The sequence below is a fragment of the Homo sapiens genome, chromosome 13, assembly GCF_000001405.40.
Source record: "Homo sapiens chromosome 13, GRCh38.p14 Primary Assembly".
Classification (NCBI taxonomy): Eukaryota; Metazoa; Chordata; class Mammalia; order Primates; family Hominidae; genus Homo; species Homo sapiens.
Window position 1 is genome coordinate 67,734,584 of NC_000013.11, and position 17,443 is coordinate 67,752,026.

The window sequence follows — 17,443 nt, forward strand, 5'->3', positions numbered from 1 at the left end:
GCTGTTATCCCTGCTGTGCATCAATTTATAAAGGGGAAACTTTATTCTTTCAGATCTCCTTGTTTATTTAAACACAGGATTAATTATTTTTTTATTTCACTTTACTTTTTGTTAGGTTATTTGAATTATTGGACAATACAAGACACTCTTTCATTAAAGCATTTCTTTATGGAATAAACAATATCACACTTTTCTTGTTTCCACCTTTTGGCTACTGTTTTGGTTTCTACTTTTTGGTTTTATCTTTTTTATATGATTCTTATATTTTGACTTCTTCTAGACTTGCCTTTATCATGGCTATATTGTCATTTTAATCATTCTTTCTAAGATGCCTTACTCATTTTCATAATTTCCAGTATAAAATAAATCTCAGTGGTTCTGGTATAATATAAATCTCAATGGATCACAAAAAATGTATATCCAGAGCAGTCCTTCACATTGACCCCCAAAATCATGTGTCGTGTGTGTGTGTGTGTGTGTGTGTGTGTGTGTGTGTGTGTGTGTTTGAGACGGAGTCTTGCTTTGTCACCAGGCTGGAGTGCAGTGGTGCAATCTAGGCTCAGTGCAACCTCTGCCTCCAGGGTTCAAGTGATTCTCCTTCCTCAGCCTCCCGAATAGCAGGGACTACAGGCATGCACCACCAAGCCCAGCTAATTTTTGTGTTTTTAGTAGAGACAGGGTTTCACCATGTTGGCCAGGATGGTCTCAATCTCTTGACCTCAAGTGATCCGCTGGCCTCAGCCTCCCAAAGTGCTGGGATTATAGGTGTGAGCCACCGTGCCCAGCCTAGTGTGTGCTTTTTTAAACGGATTTTTTTTCTTTTGCCAAAGAAATAACAAAATCTTGACATGTTCAGAATTGAAGACGTAGTTCCCCACAAATTTTTTCTCCAGTTAACCTATCTTAGTAAATAAACTGCCCCCCGGAGATCTTGGTAGCAAGAAATATGACATCTCCTTCTCTCTCTATCCAGTTGTGTCCTTTCCCTCTGACCATTCACTAGACTTTACCTCCACTGCCACTAGTCTAAGCAAAACCATCACATCTACCCTAATGGGGAGAAAGTGCTTTTCTCTGGTTTTGAAGCCTCTGTATTTGTTTCACACCCATCTTCATAGAGTAGGCCAACCATCTTTTAAAATGCCAACTGAATCCTCTCTTAAAAATACTAACACATCCTCTTGTAAAATCCCCACAATGTTTCAGTATCTGCCTTATTTATGCTGAATTTCCCACACTGAATGCAGTATTTGGCACATAGCAGGAACTCAACAAGTTGTTAAACTCATCATTAAAGTCAATGAGTAACTGACTGAGTGGATTATAGTTCTTGACAATTTAGAGAAAATTTAAATATCTGTATGCTAATGAGGAGATACAGTCAGTGAACCAAGGGGCAAAGTTACCAGTGATCAGAATGCGTACCCTTTACAAGGAACACTTATATGTTCATTTAGGGGAAAATTCTGTAAGAGTAGAAAACTATATCTATGATTTAAAAAAAAAAGATTTTGCAAAAGATGTCATCTGTTACCTGTGTGACTTTGATATTAAATGAAAATATTGAGGATTATAAGACTTACTAAAGACTTATTTATAGACTTCATTATAAAATATAAAATTATTTCATATATTAAATATATTAATATATTTAGTATTAAACATGAATGCATTAATATAGAGTATAAAATATAAAAGACTTTATACGAAAAAAATTCTAATGGTTCTACAATCTATGTAATTTCAAGATTTATGTATAAGAGGATAGTGCATTATATGCTCATGCCATTAGGTTCATATTTAAATTTTTGCAAACCCTTAAGTGAAAATAAAGGTAGAGTTTTTCCTTACAAAGCTGACTCAAGTGCATTGTGGCTTCATGCTCAAGCCATTTGTTTTCCATTGAATTGACCCCACTTTTCTTTGGCCAAGAAAGGTAATGTCAGACTCATGATTAGCGAGTAGCAGAAGAGTAGTGCCCTGAATTTAATGCTGATCAAAACATATTTTCTTTTTTTCAAAACTCTACATTTCTTCAGCAGCTCCTGTTGAAAAGCAAAACTGTCTCTAAGCAGAGAAGGGGCTCAAAGTCTTTCAATTCAGATCAGACTGTATAAAACCTTATCCTGCCACAAGGGAGCGCTTTGCTTTTTTCTGTGGATGACCTTGTCCCACTTTTCCTCTGCATTACCCATTAATGAATTCCCTGTGCTGTAAGTGAGATTATGCATTATTTGAATACCAAGTTGTTCTCATGCATAAAACCAGGGTATGGGGAGAAGGCAAAATAGTTTTTACTGTGAATGCACTGAGCCACTTAAGTGGCTGTCAGGTGTCCCTCAGTTCAACAAAATCTTTTCTCAGTGTCCCCTGTCCCCTGGGAAGTTCAGAACATTTCTTTGGAAATGCAAATGTTTTTCTTCCCACTCCTACTGCATTTCTTTGAAGCCCACATACAAGCCATTATTCAAAGAATGAGTAATCCTGAAAAGTCCCCTGGGAGATCATCATGATGCATACTGAATATAATGTAAGACAGAACACAGAATGAAGTATTTTTTTTTTGGTAAATAGCTTGTGTAGTTAAAAAAAAAGTTAAAACAAAAAAGTTTTTGCCTCAAATTGTGTGCGTGTTTATTTCAGCAGCAGACTGCCATTTTTTAAAAAGACATTTGAGGCTGCCAGATTAATCTTTAACTGTATTTTATAAACATCATAACCCATATCACATTTCAACCTCACATTTTTACCGTCCTGGGCCATTAAGATGTTTTACGAGGTTTCATAAAGTATATATAAAATACTTGAAAATGACTGGATGGAGAGTGACTGAGACTGTGTTTGGAGGAAAGAAAAGGATGCTATCAAAACAAATCTAAAACATGCTACACAATATATTTTTAAAAAGTGATTCTTGACAATGCAAACTTCAAATGAATTAGAATAAAAGGGGAAATTTACCAGTGTTTAATCATTAACTTGATGAACATAGATCTTCCTGAATTTAACAGTATGCTTTTTATAGTAAAATATGAGAAAAGTCTTTAGAATATTTTTAAATGATAAAGGTTATACTCCATGGTAGTAATAACAACCAATATTAAATTTATTCTTTTATTTAAAATAACTGAAAACATCAAAAACTTCTTTTTTCACGAACAACTCTTTGAGGCTTTTGCTTATGGCCATGTACTCCATTCTCAGGTACTTTCTATCCCCCTTTCTTGCTTTTAATTTTAACCATAAAAATGATCTTAATGTGACATACTATTTTTACTTTTTTTTATTTTTTAATCAGAATATCTTCAGGCTTTCAAAAAACAGACAGGTTCTGATTCAGAGAAAGATTACTGTGAGAATTACAAGAATGAGGAGTATACAGATGTTTCGGGATTTAATGCGGATTCCAAGGCAGGTTAATTTTTGAAAACATAATTAATTAATTTAGAATTAGTTTTTTTAATCTTTTTATGTCAATTGTGTAATATACTTGTTAGACTTTTGTGGTTCCATCACAATATTTATGATTTTGGGAGACAGCGTTGGCTAATAGAAATGATAATAACCTGAGTGCCAACACCAGAATTGTAAACACATGTAGAATATGAACTACTTTTGTTGTTTGGGGCATATCATTTTATTGCCCCATCTCTTGAAACAGAGATTTGGACTTGTTGATCCTTAATATATTTCTAACTTTTCTTGATTCTTGACTTTTTATACTCATTCGTTCATCTACTTTCACTTTCAACAAATATTTAGTAAGAATCTGCTATTTGTTGATGACCTAAAAATAGTGAATAAGCTAGAAATAAATCTAACCTATAGTCAAGGGAAATAATATTAAAAACATAAACAAATATATAAAAGAGTAGTGATGAAAATAAATCAGAATAAGGGCGTAATGTGTGTAGAGATTAGTTTAGTGTGGATAATGTCAGAAGGCATATGAAGAGGTAACATTTGATATGAGCCTGGAATGATGAGGTTGTGTGAAGATTTTAGGGAAAATAATATTTCAGGTTGAAGAAACAACAAATTCTAAAGGCCTGGAATAGGAATAAGCTCAGAGTATTCGAAGAAAAGAAAAAGTCAGTACAGTTGATGCAGAGTATAGTAGTGGTAATTGTGAAAGGTAGGCAGGGTCAGGCCATCTTGGGCTTTCTACTCTAGAAATGGAAGTTACAGGTTTATTTTAAATGTGAACATAAGCCATTGGGCATGTTTTAATAGGTGGAGAGTCACTTTTGGTAGCTAAGTAGAATCGATTATAGGTAGGCAAGAAGAGAAACAGAGAGACTAGTTAGGAGGTTATTGCAATAGAGTATAAGCGAGGGAGATAGCAGTGAAGATGGTGAGAGGTGATCTATTTAGAATATATTTTATAAGGCCAGTGCAGTGGCTCACATCTGTAATCCCAGCACTTTGGGAGGCCAAGGCTGGCAGATCACTTGAGGTCAGGAGTTTGAGACCAACCTGGTCAACATGGTGAAACCCAATCTCTACTAAAAATACAAAAATTAGCCAGGCATGGTGGCATTTGCCTGTAGTCTCAGCTACTAGGGAGGCTGAGGCAGGAGAATTGCTTGAGCCCAGAAGGCGGAGGATGCAGTGAGCCGAGATTGTGCCACTGCACTCCAGCCTGGGTGACAGATTGAGACTCCATCTCAAGAGAAAAAAAAAAAGAATATATTTTATAGGTAGAGTTTATGGAATTATCTCTTGGATTCCCTGCGAAGGGTAGTGGAAATAGAAGATTCCAGAACAACTATGAGTATGTATTTCTGGATAACAGCTTTAGTTTCGGGATTAGGAAAAAATTCTTGGTAGGGAGATTGTGAGGGTATTGGGCAGTCATCAATTTTTATCATGAGAAGGTGTTTTATTACCAGCTAGCAAAGTACAGGTGAGGATTTAGAATAAATCTGAATGACAATTCCTATTGTACTTTCATCATTATGAGACAGGTAAATATGTCATTTCCCTGCTATAGTCACTTTAGTTAGTCTTCATTTCCTTGCATTTCCTTGCCTTCCCTTTCATTTCTTTCATTTTGTTTAGCTTTTCCTTTGTGGTATGTGTTACAAATACAGATATTGATGATTTTTAAAGTCTGAAATATTGCACCTGCCCTGACATTTCTTCTGATCCCATGGCTCTAATCCTGTGAGCTGGTTGGGAGGTCCAAAGCCAGAGGCTTCTCTGGGCAACCAATTTAGTCTGATGTTGCAAGAAAAAATAAATCATTAAGCATGTAAATGCCTCTTTCTGGGAGACATTTGTAAACTATATGAGTTCTAGACTGAAGTCTTTTCCATGACCCAATAGCAACAGCCATAACCAAGAAGATATATGCAAGTGCTGATGAGTACACATTCTGAAGGTTACTTTGATATATGTGTTTGCTGAGAATCTTAGTTGATGTATTCTCTAGCTCAGGCCTAATTTTTCTTTTCAAATAAGCAATGATCTAAATTCTCAGGAAATCATAAGATCTAGTGACTTTGCACAGAGATATTTTGCATAAGATCCAGATTTTACTCATGATTTATGATTTACAATATTAGGCTATTTTGTATGCATTGTGAAATTTGTTGCTTGCTGTTATTGGTTAGGGGGAGAGGAGAGACCAGAAGCTTTAAAGGAGAGAGGATCACAAGTTCCCTTCATACCTGTTATGGAGACAAAAATTGTTAGCAATGGTGAGATCTAATTCCAACTTGATAACATCATTTGAAGTAGCATGTCAACAGAAGATTTCAATTATTAATTAATAATAGTCAACACTTACATAGGATTTAATATTTTTCAAGGATTCTTATGTGATTTCCATATATGTTAACTCACTTAATCCTTATAATAACTGTAGGAGATAGGCATTATTATTCCAATTTTAGACAAGAAGAAATGGAAGCACAGACAAGGTCAAATAACCTGTGCAAGTTACACGGCTATTAAGTTTTAGAACTGTGAATAAAACCCAGCACTCTTAACCACTATGACACCTAGAAACATTAAACAGCAAGCTAGCACAAGTTTGAAGACACCTTTCTTAAAAAAAAAACCTCATAAACATGACATATTTCAGTTGTAAAAATATAAAATATCATTCTGTAATATGTGCACATAGATATTAGTATGATTTTGTTTTTAACAATTGATTCTTTTCTTTTTATTTATTCAGTTTACAAATGTTTACTGAAATGCTTGTTGTAGGATTTTGTAATTCAACAGTGAACAGAAAGACATCAAATCTCACCTTCACTGAGTTTACTTTCTAAAGGCAGAAATTTTTGAGACAATATTTTGCTTATTTTTTATCTTTTGCCTAACAGACAAGGAATAAACATCGTTGACCTAACAGTGAGTGTGAAGAGGATCCTAGCCCAAGAGTGATATGACCATATATGTCTCAGAACGTTTAGGCATAATTTATTTTTTTGGCTATACTGTCAGAGGCCTTTGAGCCACAGCAACTCCATCTTGAATAGGGGCTGGGGAAAACAAAGCTGAGACCTACTGGGGTCCATTCCCAGGGGGTTAAGTCATTCTAAGTCACGGGATGAGATCAGAGGTTGGCACAAGATACAGATCATAAAGACCTGGCTGATAAAATAGGATGCAGTAAAGAAAACGAACCAAAACCAAGATAGCAACAAGAGTGACCTCTGTTTGCCTTCACTGCTCATTATACATTAATTATAATGCATTAGCATGCTAAGAGACACTCCCACCAGTGCTATGACAGTTTACAGATGCCATGGCAATGACTGGAAGTTACCCTATATGGTCTAAAAAGGAGAGGAACCCTCAGTTCTGGGAATTACCCACCCATTTCCTCATGAATAATTTCCCACCATTCCTCATGAATAATCTACTCCTTGTTTAACATATAATCAAGAAATAACCATGAAAATAGCAACCAACAGCCCCCTGGGGCTGCTCTACCTATGGAGTAGCTATTCTTTATATCTTTACTTTGTTAATAAACTTGCTTTCAATTTACTTTATGGATTCTTCTCAAATTATTTTTTGCATGAGATCCAAGAAGCGTCTCTTGGTGTCTGGATCCAGACCCCTTTCTGGTAACAATACCACACCTTTACAAGCTGGTGATGATTGATTTTTAGTGCCTGCAAAAGTAAACTGAAGTTTTAACCCACTGGAAATCTAAGAGAACTGCACTGAAGGAGGCAATTCACTAATTAAATCCCAGTATCATTTCATGGGAAAGGATTTTTGTTTTTGTTTCTCTTTCACTAACACTTCACAGCATCTACAGAACATTAAGTCAGCTAAGAATTCTATAGCACTTGCTTGGTTATGCTTCAGAGGAAAAATCATTAATGACAATAATCTTTGAAGGCTTACGTGGAATGAAGAAAGCTACATTTTGGCACTTCTCTGAATTTCTCCCATTTTGAATTAAGCAGGACAAATGGGCTCCTGAATGTTGTTATTGCATCTTCAGCCAGCAAGAAAATGGTATTCTGTGCTGCTCACTTACATAGAATATTGGGATATGAAATAATCAGACAACCTTTGCGTCTGGAATATCTTCCTTCAGGTTTTACACAATCAGCGATTTATTTTGCCCATTAGACAGTGGTTTCACATAATGTTTTGCTGTTGTTTTGAAGTGATAACATTTTAAGTGCTGGTTGTCTTGTTTGGATGAGGGTGCTTATTTATGAATGTTTTCTGAAGACCAGATAGAGGCGTTTGTGTGTCTTAGACAAATCAATTAAAAAACACACACATAAATAAATGAAGCACATCTGTAAAACACTTTTACTGTGACCTAGTTAAGGGCTTTTGTTTTATCACTGGTAAAGTGTTTTCAAAACATTTACGATCATTAGAATTTGATATCTGAAGTTTGCAGGGTTTTATGCTGTTGGTTGTTGGAGAAGGATAGCATGTGTTGTTAGCAGTGCAAACTCAGACATCTCAGAAAGCCATTTTTAGACTTCTTTTCTTCTCTATTTTTATTAGTAACCTTGCAGCTCAGTATGAGAGCTTCTCTGTGTGAATTCACAAGGTGCCAATGCTGTGGTGTGAAATTGAAGTATGCAACTCTGCCCCCAGGAATTTAGCAGCCTGGAGTTGAACTTTGATAAAAATGAATGGATTACTTCTCCCCAATGGGAAAAGCTGAACGACCTGGTGTGCAAGGCATTAGATGGTGAATCAGAAGTCATAGCCTTGTCACTTTCTTGCTGTGTGACCTTGGGCAAATCAATTAACTTCTCTGTGCCTCGGGTTCTCCATCTGTATAATGAGGACTGTGATACCTACCTTAAAAGTAAGGGAAAAGGATTAATGAGCAATGTCTGCAAAACACATTAAGCTCCACGGAAGAGAGGTGCTCTATAATTACAAGCCATTATTACTGAATGTAAAAGACAGTAAAAGGAAACCATTATTTTATCTTCTTCAGTAGGAGTTATTTCAACTAACGCAGGATTTGGTAGAATCTTAAAGCCAAGTGGCTTATTTAAAATGCTTTAATTTTTCAAGAATTTCTCTTAATTATATAAAATATCAGATTTTCAATATAATAGATCTGAGGAGTAAGCCAATTTGGTACTTTGGCAGAATGCAAATTACTAAATATTGAGCGTCAGATGGCCTCAAATTTATTCTACTGCCTATGTAGCACTAAGCCTAATTCATCTTGGGAAGATAGTTATCTATTATATTCTTAGAGCCCTAAAAGACTACTTCTAATACCTCTTCTACTAACCTGCTCTATTTTTAGCAAAACAGGCTTTCACATTAAGTAAATAGTTCATGCTGAATTTAACGGCAATATTTTTTATTCTCAATGGAAAAGAGAATAGTGATTTTACATATCATATTAAACTTCTGTATGTTTAAGGAGAGTTACTAAGTGATATTTTTCTCTCAATGCTAAATAGCCCTATCACTTTCCATTATTCTTCAGAGGTCCACCTTTAGTGATATTGCTGTTTCTTTTCTCTCTGAATCTCATTCTGTATTTTGCAATATGTTTAGTATTGCAAGGTCCAAGCTGTGAAGAAATATCGCTTTTTTAAACTTTTTTTTTTTTTTTGAGACAGAGTTTCACTCTTGTTGCCCAGGCTGTAGGGCAATGCTGCGATCTCTGCTCACTGCAACCTTCACCTCCTGGGTTCAAACAATTCTCCTGCCTCAGCCTCCTGAGTAGCTGGGATTACAGGTGCGCGCCACCACGCCTGGCTAATTTTTGTATTTTTAGTAGAGACATGGTTTCGCCATGTTGACCAGGCTGGTCTTGAACTCCTGATCTCAGGTGATCCACCTTCCTCGGCCTCCCAAAGTGTTGGGATTACAGATGTGAGCCACCATGCCTGGCCACTTTTTTTTTTTTTTTTTTTTTTTTTTTTTTAAGAAATGGAGCCTCACTCTGTTACCCTGGCTGGAGTGCAGTGGTGCAATCATAGCTCACTGCAGCCTCTACCTGGACTCAAGTGATCTTTCCATCTCAACCTCTTGAGTAGCTGGGACTAGAGTGCGTGTCACTCGCCCAGCTAACTATTTAAATTTTTTTTGTAGAGACGGGGTCTCCCTATGTTGCTCAGGCTGGTCTCGAAGTCCTGTCCTCAAGCAATCCTCCAGCTTTGGCCTCCCAATGTGATAAGATTACAGGAATGAGCCACTGCACCTAACCCCAATACAGCTTCTATTAGGTGTACCACCTAATTGTTTGAATTCTTTGGAAGTCACTGAACTTTCCAATTGCTTAGTTAATTTATTGGCAACCTAAAAAGGTAGGACAAATCATAAGGGTTGATTCTGACACTCACATCTTACATTGCTATATAATTTTGTTTTTTATTTTTCATTAGTTTATTGAATGTCAACCTGGTGTTCCAAATCTTTCATATGATTTTATATATTCGATTTTCTTAACAGTCTTCTTTAAATGTAATTACCTCTTTTTATTGATAAAGGAAATGAATTCAAACAGGAAGCACCATGTTGCTTGTACTTAAGGGTCCAGCCACTGGAGTCAGACATGGGATTGAATTCAATTAATTCATTTCCCTAGACCTCAATTGTCTATGTGTTTCTAATAATATTTATTTCAATGATTTAATGAAGATTAAACTAGATAATATGTTGTAGGTGCTTAATGTAATATCTGGCATGTTAAACATTTGGTAATCCGTAGCTTTTTGGTGATGATTGTGATTGAGGACATAGTTAATTTGCTGGTTTATTTTCCTAGGTAATATGTGTAGTAGGTAGAGGCACAATTTTGAGGCAAGTTTGTCCAAAGCCCAAATTTCAGCTGCTTCAAAGTCTTTAGCTAAGTTTTAAGGTGTCAACAAAGAAGTTATTGTTAGGAAGAACAGGCAATTCATCATTTTCTTTTTATCTTCCTTTGAGGTAGCTAAGATTACTGGGTAAAGTTCTTGTTGAGAAATTTGCTTTATTTGTCAATATACATGCATAGATATGTATGCATATTTATTACAAACTACTTACAATGCTCTGACTTACAATTTTTTGACTTTATGATGGTTTGGAAGCAGTACACACTTAACAGAGACTGTATTTCAAATTATGAATCTTGATCCTTTTTCAGGCTAACGATATGTAGTAAAATACTCTCTCATGCTGCTGGGCAGCAACAGTGAGCTGCAGCTCCCAGTCAGCCTCATGGTCACAAGCATAAACAACTTGAAACTATACAGAGGACTGTGTTGCTAGCATTTTTTTGGGATAATAATAAAAAGAAGAAACAAGCTATACAGTCAAAACTTGATGCCTTCCTAAAGAATAATATGCCTGCTAAGCCATCAACAAGTGATCCTCAGTGGCTTCTACCGGCTATTCTCGAGACTCATCTGAAGAGTGAGAAATTGATGACCCTGTGGCTGTAGCATCCCCGTCATCTAGCAATTAATTTTAGTTAAACACTACGAAGATTCCTCAGGCCCAGTGTGCCCTCAGCTGTGTACAATAATGGTGAATACCCGTACAACCATTCTGGTTTTCACTTCCAGTACAGTATTGAATAAATGACATTAGAGTTCAATACTTCATTATAAAAGAGGCTTTGTGTTAGATGGCTTTGCCCAATTGTAGGCTAATGTATGTGTTCTGAGCATATTCAAGGTGGGCTAGGCTAAGTTACAATATTCAGTAGATTAGGTGTATTACGTTCATTTCCAACTTATAATGTTTTCAATTTATGATGGTTTATTGGTATGTAACTTCATTATGTCAAGAATCGTCTGTATTTATAACATATTTACACATACATTTCCAAATATATTTGTAAAAACTTAATTACTTAACAATTAGCTGGTTGATAAAGAGTGTAAAATTCCTGGCAATAAATAAGCCAAATAACCAACTAATTCATTTCTTTGTTCATCCACAGGGGAGTATTTCAGTAATGTGTTACTACTAACATCTTGCTGGGAGTATGAAGGCTATAAAGCTGGCTCAATCTTACCAGACTGTAAGACATTTTATAGCATGGATTCTGCCTTTTTTCTCTGAATATCTAATGACTTAATAAGTAGTGACTCTTAAGAAGTACCTCATGAATTTTGAACAAAACTAAGTTTTCCTGAGGAGCCAATAGCCAAGTAGGAGGTTAAGAAATGTATCAATCTGATTCTGATACAAAGTAAAAATATGGTCACCATAAAGGTACGGCGAAAAGGCTTTCAGAATTCAGCAGTGGGTAAGATCTCTCCTAGGGCATAAAACAACATTTTCTGAAGGAAGAAGGAATATAAGTGGAGTATTAAAGCATAAGTAAAAACAGAAATAGAGAAACAGGAATAGAGGCTAGTGAAAGCAAAGGGAATATGCAGGAAAGCAAGATTTGTACTCATTTTTTTCCTCCGTGTGGGGCACTGTCCTGTTTGCACATGTCTACATTCTTCCATTTCTATAAAGTAAGTATCATTTTAGAAAGGAGGAAAATGAAATTAAAAGAAGATAAGACACTTGGTTTAGTAATGAGAAAACTGGATGTGCCAGGGTAAGTATTACTGTCCAGCCTTGTCTTTTAGGTCCTGAGGGTCTAGGGATTGGGTGGGAAGTCAACAAGAATCAGAGAACAGTTGAATTTTCCTGGAGAAAGGGGTTCTGGATCTCTTTGATCTTAACTCCATTCATAAAGGGCTAGGCTAGAACGGACTTTGCCTTCAGATAATATAGACCCAGATGACCGTGGTTAGCATTCTTTGAATCACTGTGTGACTTTGGGTCTCTCTCTACATCTTGTCTCATTTTTCTATCTGCACAAATTTGATAATCATATTTTAGTTGTAAAGTCAGGGAGATCTTGGTTTAATTCCTGATGACAGTTAGAGATGTGTGGCCCTGGGCAATTTTTAAAACTTTCTGAACTTCATTTTCTGTGTCTATATAGTTTTGATAATGTTATTTTTCATTTATTATTTTATGAAGATTAGAAATAATACATGATAAAATTTAATGAACATTCTGTCAAGCAGTGATAATATCATTTTCTCCTTAAGATTATTTTGGGGATTAAAATAGATAAGGCAAATGATGACAGTGTTTTGTAACATAGGCATTTAGATATTGAGATAAAAGTACCACTATTACAAAAAGTTTTATATATACACATAAATATGTATATAATTTTATACCCACATGCACCCACTCACTTCTACCACATACCCACATATTTATATAAAGTTACCACACATTGCCTAATGCAGAGCAACTACTTGATAAATATTAACTCAAGGGCCATGCAGCTCTATATTAATGCTAGCAATAAGAATATTTTATCAGTTTGGACATCCTGTTTTAAATTATATTTATATATATAAATTCATGATTTCTGTATGGAGTTAATTGAAAGAAAATGAATTTCAACACAGGGATAGTCTAATATAGATGACACACATATATACAATTGTTATATCATATTATTGATTCAAATGAATTTTTTACTTAACAATTTAACAGTATTTATTTCTCATGACATTAAATTGTTATATACAACATACTAGTTTAATTAAGTTATCATTTATTCTTAAGCATTTGAATTATTTGAATATTTTAAAATGAGAAATAATGGAATCAAGAGGAAATATTGGGCCCTTCTTCCTGACTGTATACCTTTTTCCCTTTTCTTCTTTAAAAAATTTTTTTTTATGTTTATGGATTTAGGGATATAAATGCAGTTGTGCTACATGGATATACTGCATAGTGGTGAAGCCTGGGCATTTCATATTCCCATCACCCGAATCGTGTACACTGGACACCATAGGTAATATTTCATCCCTCACTGCCCTGCCACGCTTCCCCCTTTTAAAGTCTTTAATGTCTATTATTCCACTCTGTATGTCCACGTGTACCCACTGTTTAGCTCCCACTTATAAGTGAGAACATGCAGTTTTTTACTTTCTGTCTGAGTCATTTCACTAAAAACAATGACCTCCTGTTCCATACATGTTGCTGCAAAATACATGATTTCATTCTTTTTTTGTGGCTAAGTAGTAGTCCATGATATATACTACATTTTTAAATCCAATCATCTGTTGATGGGCACTTAGGTTGATTTCATGACTTCGCTATTGTAAATAGTTCTACAATAAACATGACGACAGGTGTCTTTTAGATTTAATGGTTTCTTTTCCTTTGGTAGAGAGACCTAGTAGTGGGATTACTGGATGGAATGGTAGTTCTATTTTTAGTTCTTTCAGAAATCTTCATACCATTTTCCGTAGAGGTTGTACTAATTTATATTCCCACCAACAGTGTATAGGCATTCCATTTTCTCTGCATTCTCACCAACATCTGTTGTTTTTGACTTTTTAATAATAGGCATTCTGACTGGTGTAGGATGATATTCCATCACAGTTTTAGTTTGCATTGCGTTGATGATTAGTGCTGTTGAACATTTTTTATACATTTGTTGGTCACTTCTATTTCTTCTTTGAGAAATGGTTGTTAGTGTTCCTTGCTCACTTTTTAATGGAGTTATTTATGCATTTTTCTTGTTGATTTGTTTGAGTTCCTTCTATATTCTGGATATTAGCCCTTTGTTGGATGCATTGTTTGCAAATATTTCCTCTCATTCTGTAGGGTGTCTGTTTACTCTGTTGATTATTTCTTTTGCTGTGCAGAAGCTTTTTAGTTTAGTGCTAGTTGTCTATTTTTGGTTTCGTTGCATTTCTTTTTGAGAACGTAGTCATAAATGATTTGCCTTCTAGGATTTTTATAGTTACAGGTCTTAAATGTAAGTCTTTAATCCATCTTGAATTAATTTTTGTATATGGTAGGGATAGGGGTCCAGTTTAATTCTTGTTCTTATGGCTCCCCAATTTTCCTAAAACCATTAAGATTGAATATGGTGTCCTTTCCCTGGAGTACATGTTGTTGAACTTTATCAAACATCAGTTAGTTGTAGATATGTGTCCTTAATTCTGAGTTCTCTGTTTTATTCTGTGGATCTGAGTGTCTATTTTTTACCAGTACCATGCTGTTTTGGTTACTATTGCCTTATAGTATAATTTGAGGTCAGGTAATGTGATACCTCCAGCTTTATTCTTTTTGCTTAGAATTGCTTTGGCTGTTTGTACTATTTTTTTTTTTTGGTTCCATATACATTTTAGGGTTGCTTTTTCTAATTCTGATTATATACTTCTTAGAAAAAGATGTATCTCATTTCCGAAAGTTAAATTCCTAGACTAGTGGATATGTACATTTTCAAAAATTTTTATACATGATATCAAACTGCCTTTCAGGAATATTGTCCTGTCTCTTTAGTTAACATTCTCGACCTGATTTTTGCCATTTAGAACAGACCGTCATTTGTCTTTCTTTTGTTCTTTTCCTTTCTGGCAGCTACTCTGGACTCATGTAAATTATTCTACCGAATGTCAAAGCTGTGAAGATCATTCACATAATTTTCTATGTATTATGCAAGTCTTGTCATTTATTAGAGCAGGAAAGAATGTTTTTTTTTTATTTACTTGTATCTTAGTATTTATTTTCATGGAATTATAAATTTAAAGCCACAAGGAAAGTTTTCCTGAAATTGAGAGATTTAAATTCATCTTTTAAAATCCCAAAGTGATTTAATATGCCAAATTTAGCAAACTATGCACACTTATTTATATCCACTTTTATCAAGCTTAGATTTAAAATATTTCTATCACTAAAATGACTATCAAGTTAGTGCCAAAAGACTAAACTTGCCATATGAAAAGTATTTTGGAAGTTGGAAAACCTGAAACCTTGAAATCTATTTGAGCAATAACTTTAGTCTTTTGGGATACAATTATTTTGTGTGCTTATGTCACTATTCTGAAACTACTTTCATCTATTGCTCTCCAAAATTAACTTTCCATTAGGAGCTAAAAAAAAAGTTTATGTACCAATTCATTGAAAATAAAATTATAAAAAGTGGCAAAGCCAATATGTATTAATACTTTTCCAAAAATGGATATCTGTTTATCATTTTAGGAACTAATTACTTATGAATTGTATGCACCAAATTAATCAAAGATACCACTAAGCCATGTAATGATAATTTCACATTTGTGGGGCAAGATTAGCTTTTATGTAATTTAGTATGTTCTGGAAAGTAGAACTGGAAACTAAATTGAGATAAGCCCTCTAGCATATTCTTGGGAATTTCTAGTTTGTAGCAATGATGTTGAGTTAATATTTCTGTGAAAGTCATATACATTCAGTGTTAAGTAATTTGGGGACCACCTACATTTTTTAAATGAAATTCACTTTTTAAAAATATCTTTCTTATAACTCTATTTGACTCCATCATTAACTTCTCCTTTAAGAGGTAAGTATTGCATGACAAAACTCATCATTCCTGAAGTCAGGTTCCTAATTCTTCTAGACAAGTGGACTATCTCTTAAAAATAGAATAACCTGATGGGATGTATGACCATGAAAAGTTAGGACATTAGGCAGGTTCACAGGGGAGCGGGCTTATTCAGTACAGCCTCAGTCAAACGACTGAACAATGGCGTGAAATTGTGCAAGATTTATCATCATTATTACGTTTTACAGCAGGATAAGTCTATCTGTGGCTCAAAAAAATTAAAGACGCTTGCAGGAGAAGAGGTAGGTAGAACCCAGAGAGAGACAGAAGGTTGGCGCAAAATGAGAAAAGCACAATTCAGTTGTTTTTAATGCAAAGTTGATGTAAGTGAGAATGTTTCAATATAAAGGCATCCATGTTATCTGCCACACAAACTCATTTAAGTAAAAGTCAGCTAACCATGCTTACTGACAGTTTTATTTTTAAAGAAAATGATTTGTAAGGAATTCTATGTGGAAATAAAACTAAAAGGAAAGGAAATATCATATGCAAAAGAAAACTAACTACGAAAGTGGAAATTGAGAATTCAGGAACAGCTTGAACATAAAAACAGGTGGTGAGGGTAAATGTCAATCATTCTAGAATTCCCGTATTTATTTGTAAGGATAGCAAATTTCCTTTCAATGTACTGGATGGAGCTGATGTAATTGTACTTTAATCTTAAAAGACAAGGTGACCCCAATCATATTGAAGAACTTTGGGCTGATATTTGAATTTTTTTCATAAAATGATAACTTTTCCCAAATCCAGTTCTGCAGAAAATCATTATACCTGTTTCTAGCATATATGATTTTTCTGCTTACAGTGTTAAAAATATTATTTTTTTCATAAAATATTAGTACTTGCTAGTTGAATGTCTGGTTGGATAATATGAGAATAAAATTTGGCATCTGTTAATCTATTCACTTTCTTATTTTGTCATTTATTAAAAATAAAAATAAGTGCATATTTTATATTAAAGTATTGAAGAAATAATACAACAAATATTAAGGACTTACTAAACACAAAGAACTGCTGATAAAATTTTGAAGAAAATAGGCATCATTTTTGGTTTCATAGAGATCTTATTTGCTGAAAGAAACATTAGCCATATAGTAGAGAATAAACTAGAAAAATGCAACCTCGCTGAAAGCCACAAAGAAAATACTTATGTGATATGAAAGAATCCAATTTACAAAGTCAGAGAAAGCGTCTTCAAGTAAATTTTGCCTGAATTTCAATCTGACTGTTACATGAGAGGTAACTTATAAAGAAGAAAAAGAAGCACATTTGCAAAGGAAGGGACTGATAAGCATAAAGTTTTTGCTACAAGAAGGAACAGGTAGAATTTTCAGGACTATAAGACACACTGTATCGCTAGAATAGACACTGAAATAGGGCATGCGGTATGATGTATGACTATTGCTGCAGGGTAGTGGTAGAGAGCTCCATGCTGGGTCTTTCTGATCTTTTAAAATAATTTTGGCTTTATTTTAGGAGCAACTATGTATCATTAAAAGATAGATGTAGGAAAAAGATGTAAGGAAATGAATATGACTATATTTTTATTTTAAAAAAGCAATGACTATTTCCTACAGAATGCAAACTGGA

The 17,443-nt window shown here is 34.6% G+C and overlaps 1 annotated feature.

Moving 5' to 3' along the window:
• Positions 1,927 to 2,825: an enhancer, noted in NCBI's record as "OCT4-NANOG hESC enhancer chr13:68310642-68311540 (GRCh37/hg19 assembly coordinates)". NCBI's record gives its function as "activates a minimal SCP1, AML or CMV promoter by ChIP-STARR-seq in naive and primed H9 embryonic stem cells {active_cell/tissue: H9 hESC(naive and primed)}" and the evidence as "EXISTENCE:reporter gene assay evidence [ECO:0000049][PMID:30033119]".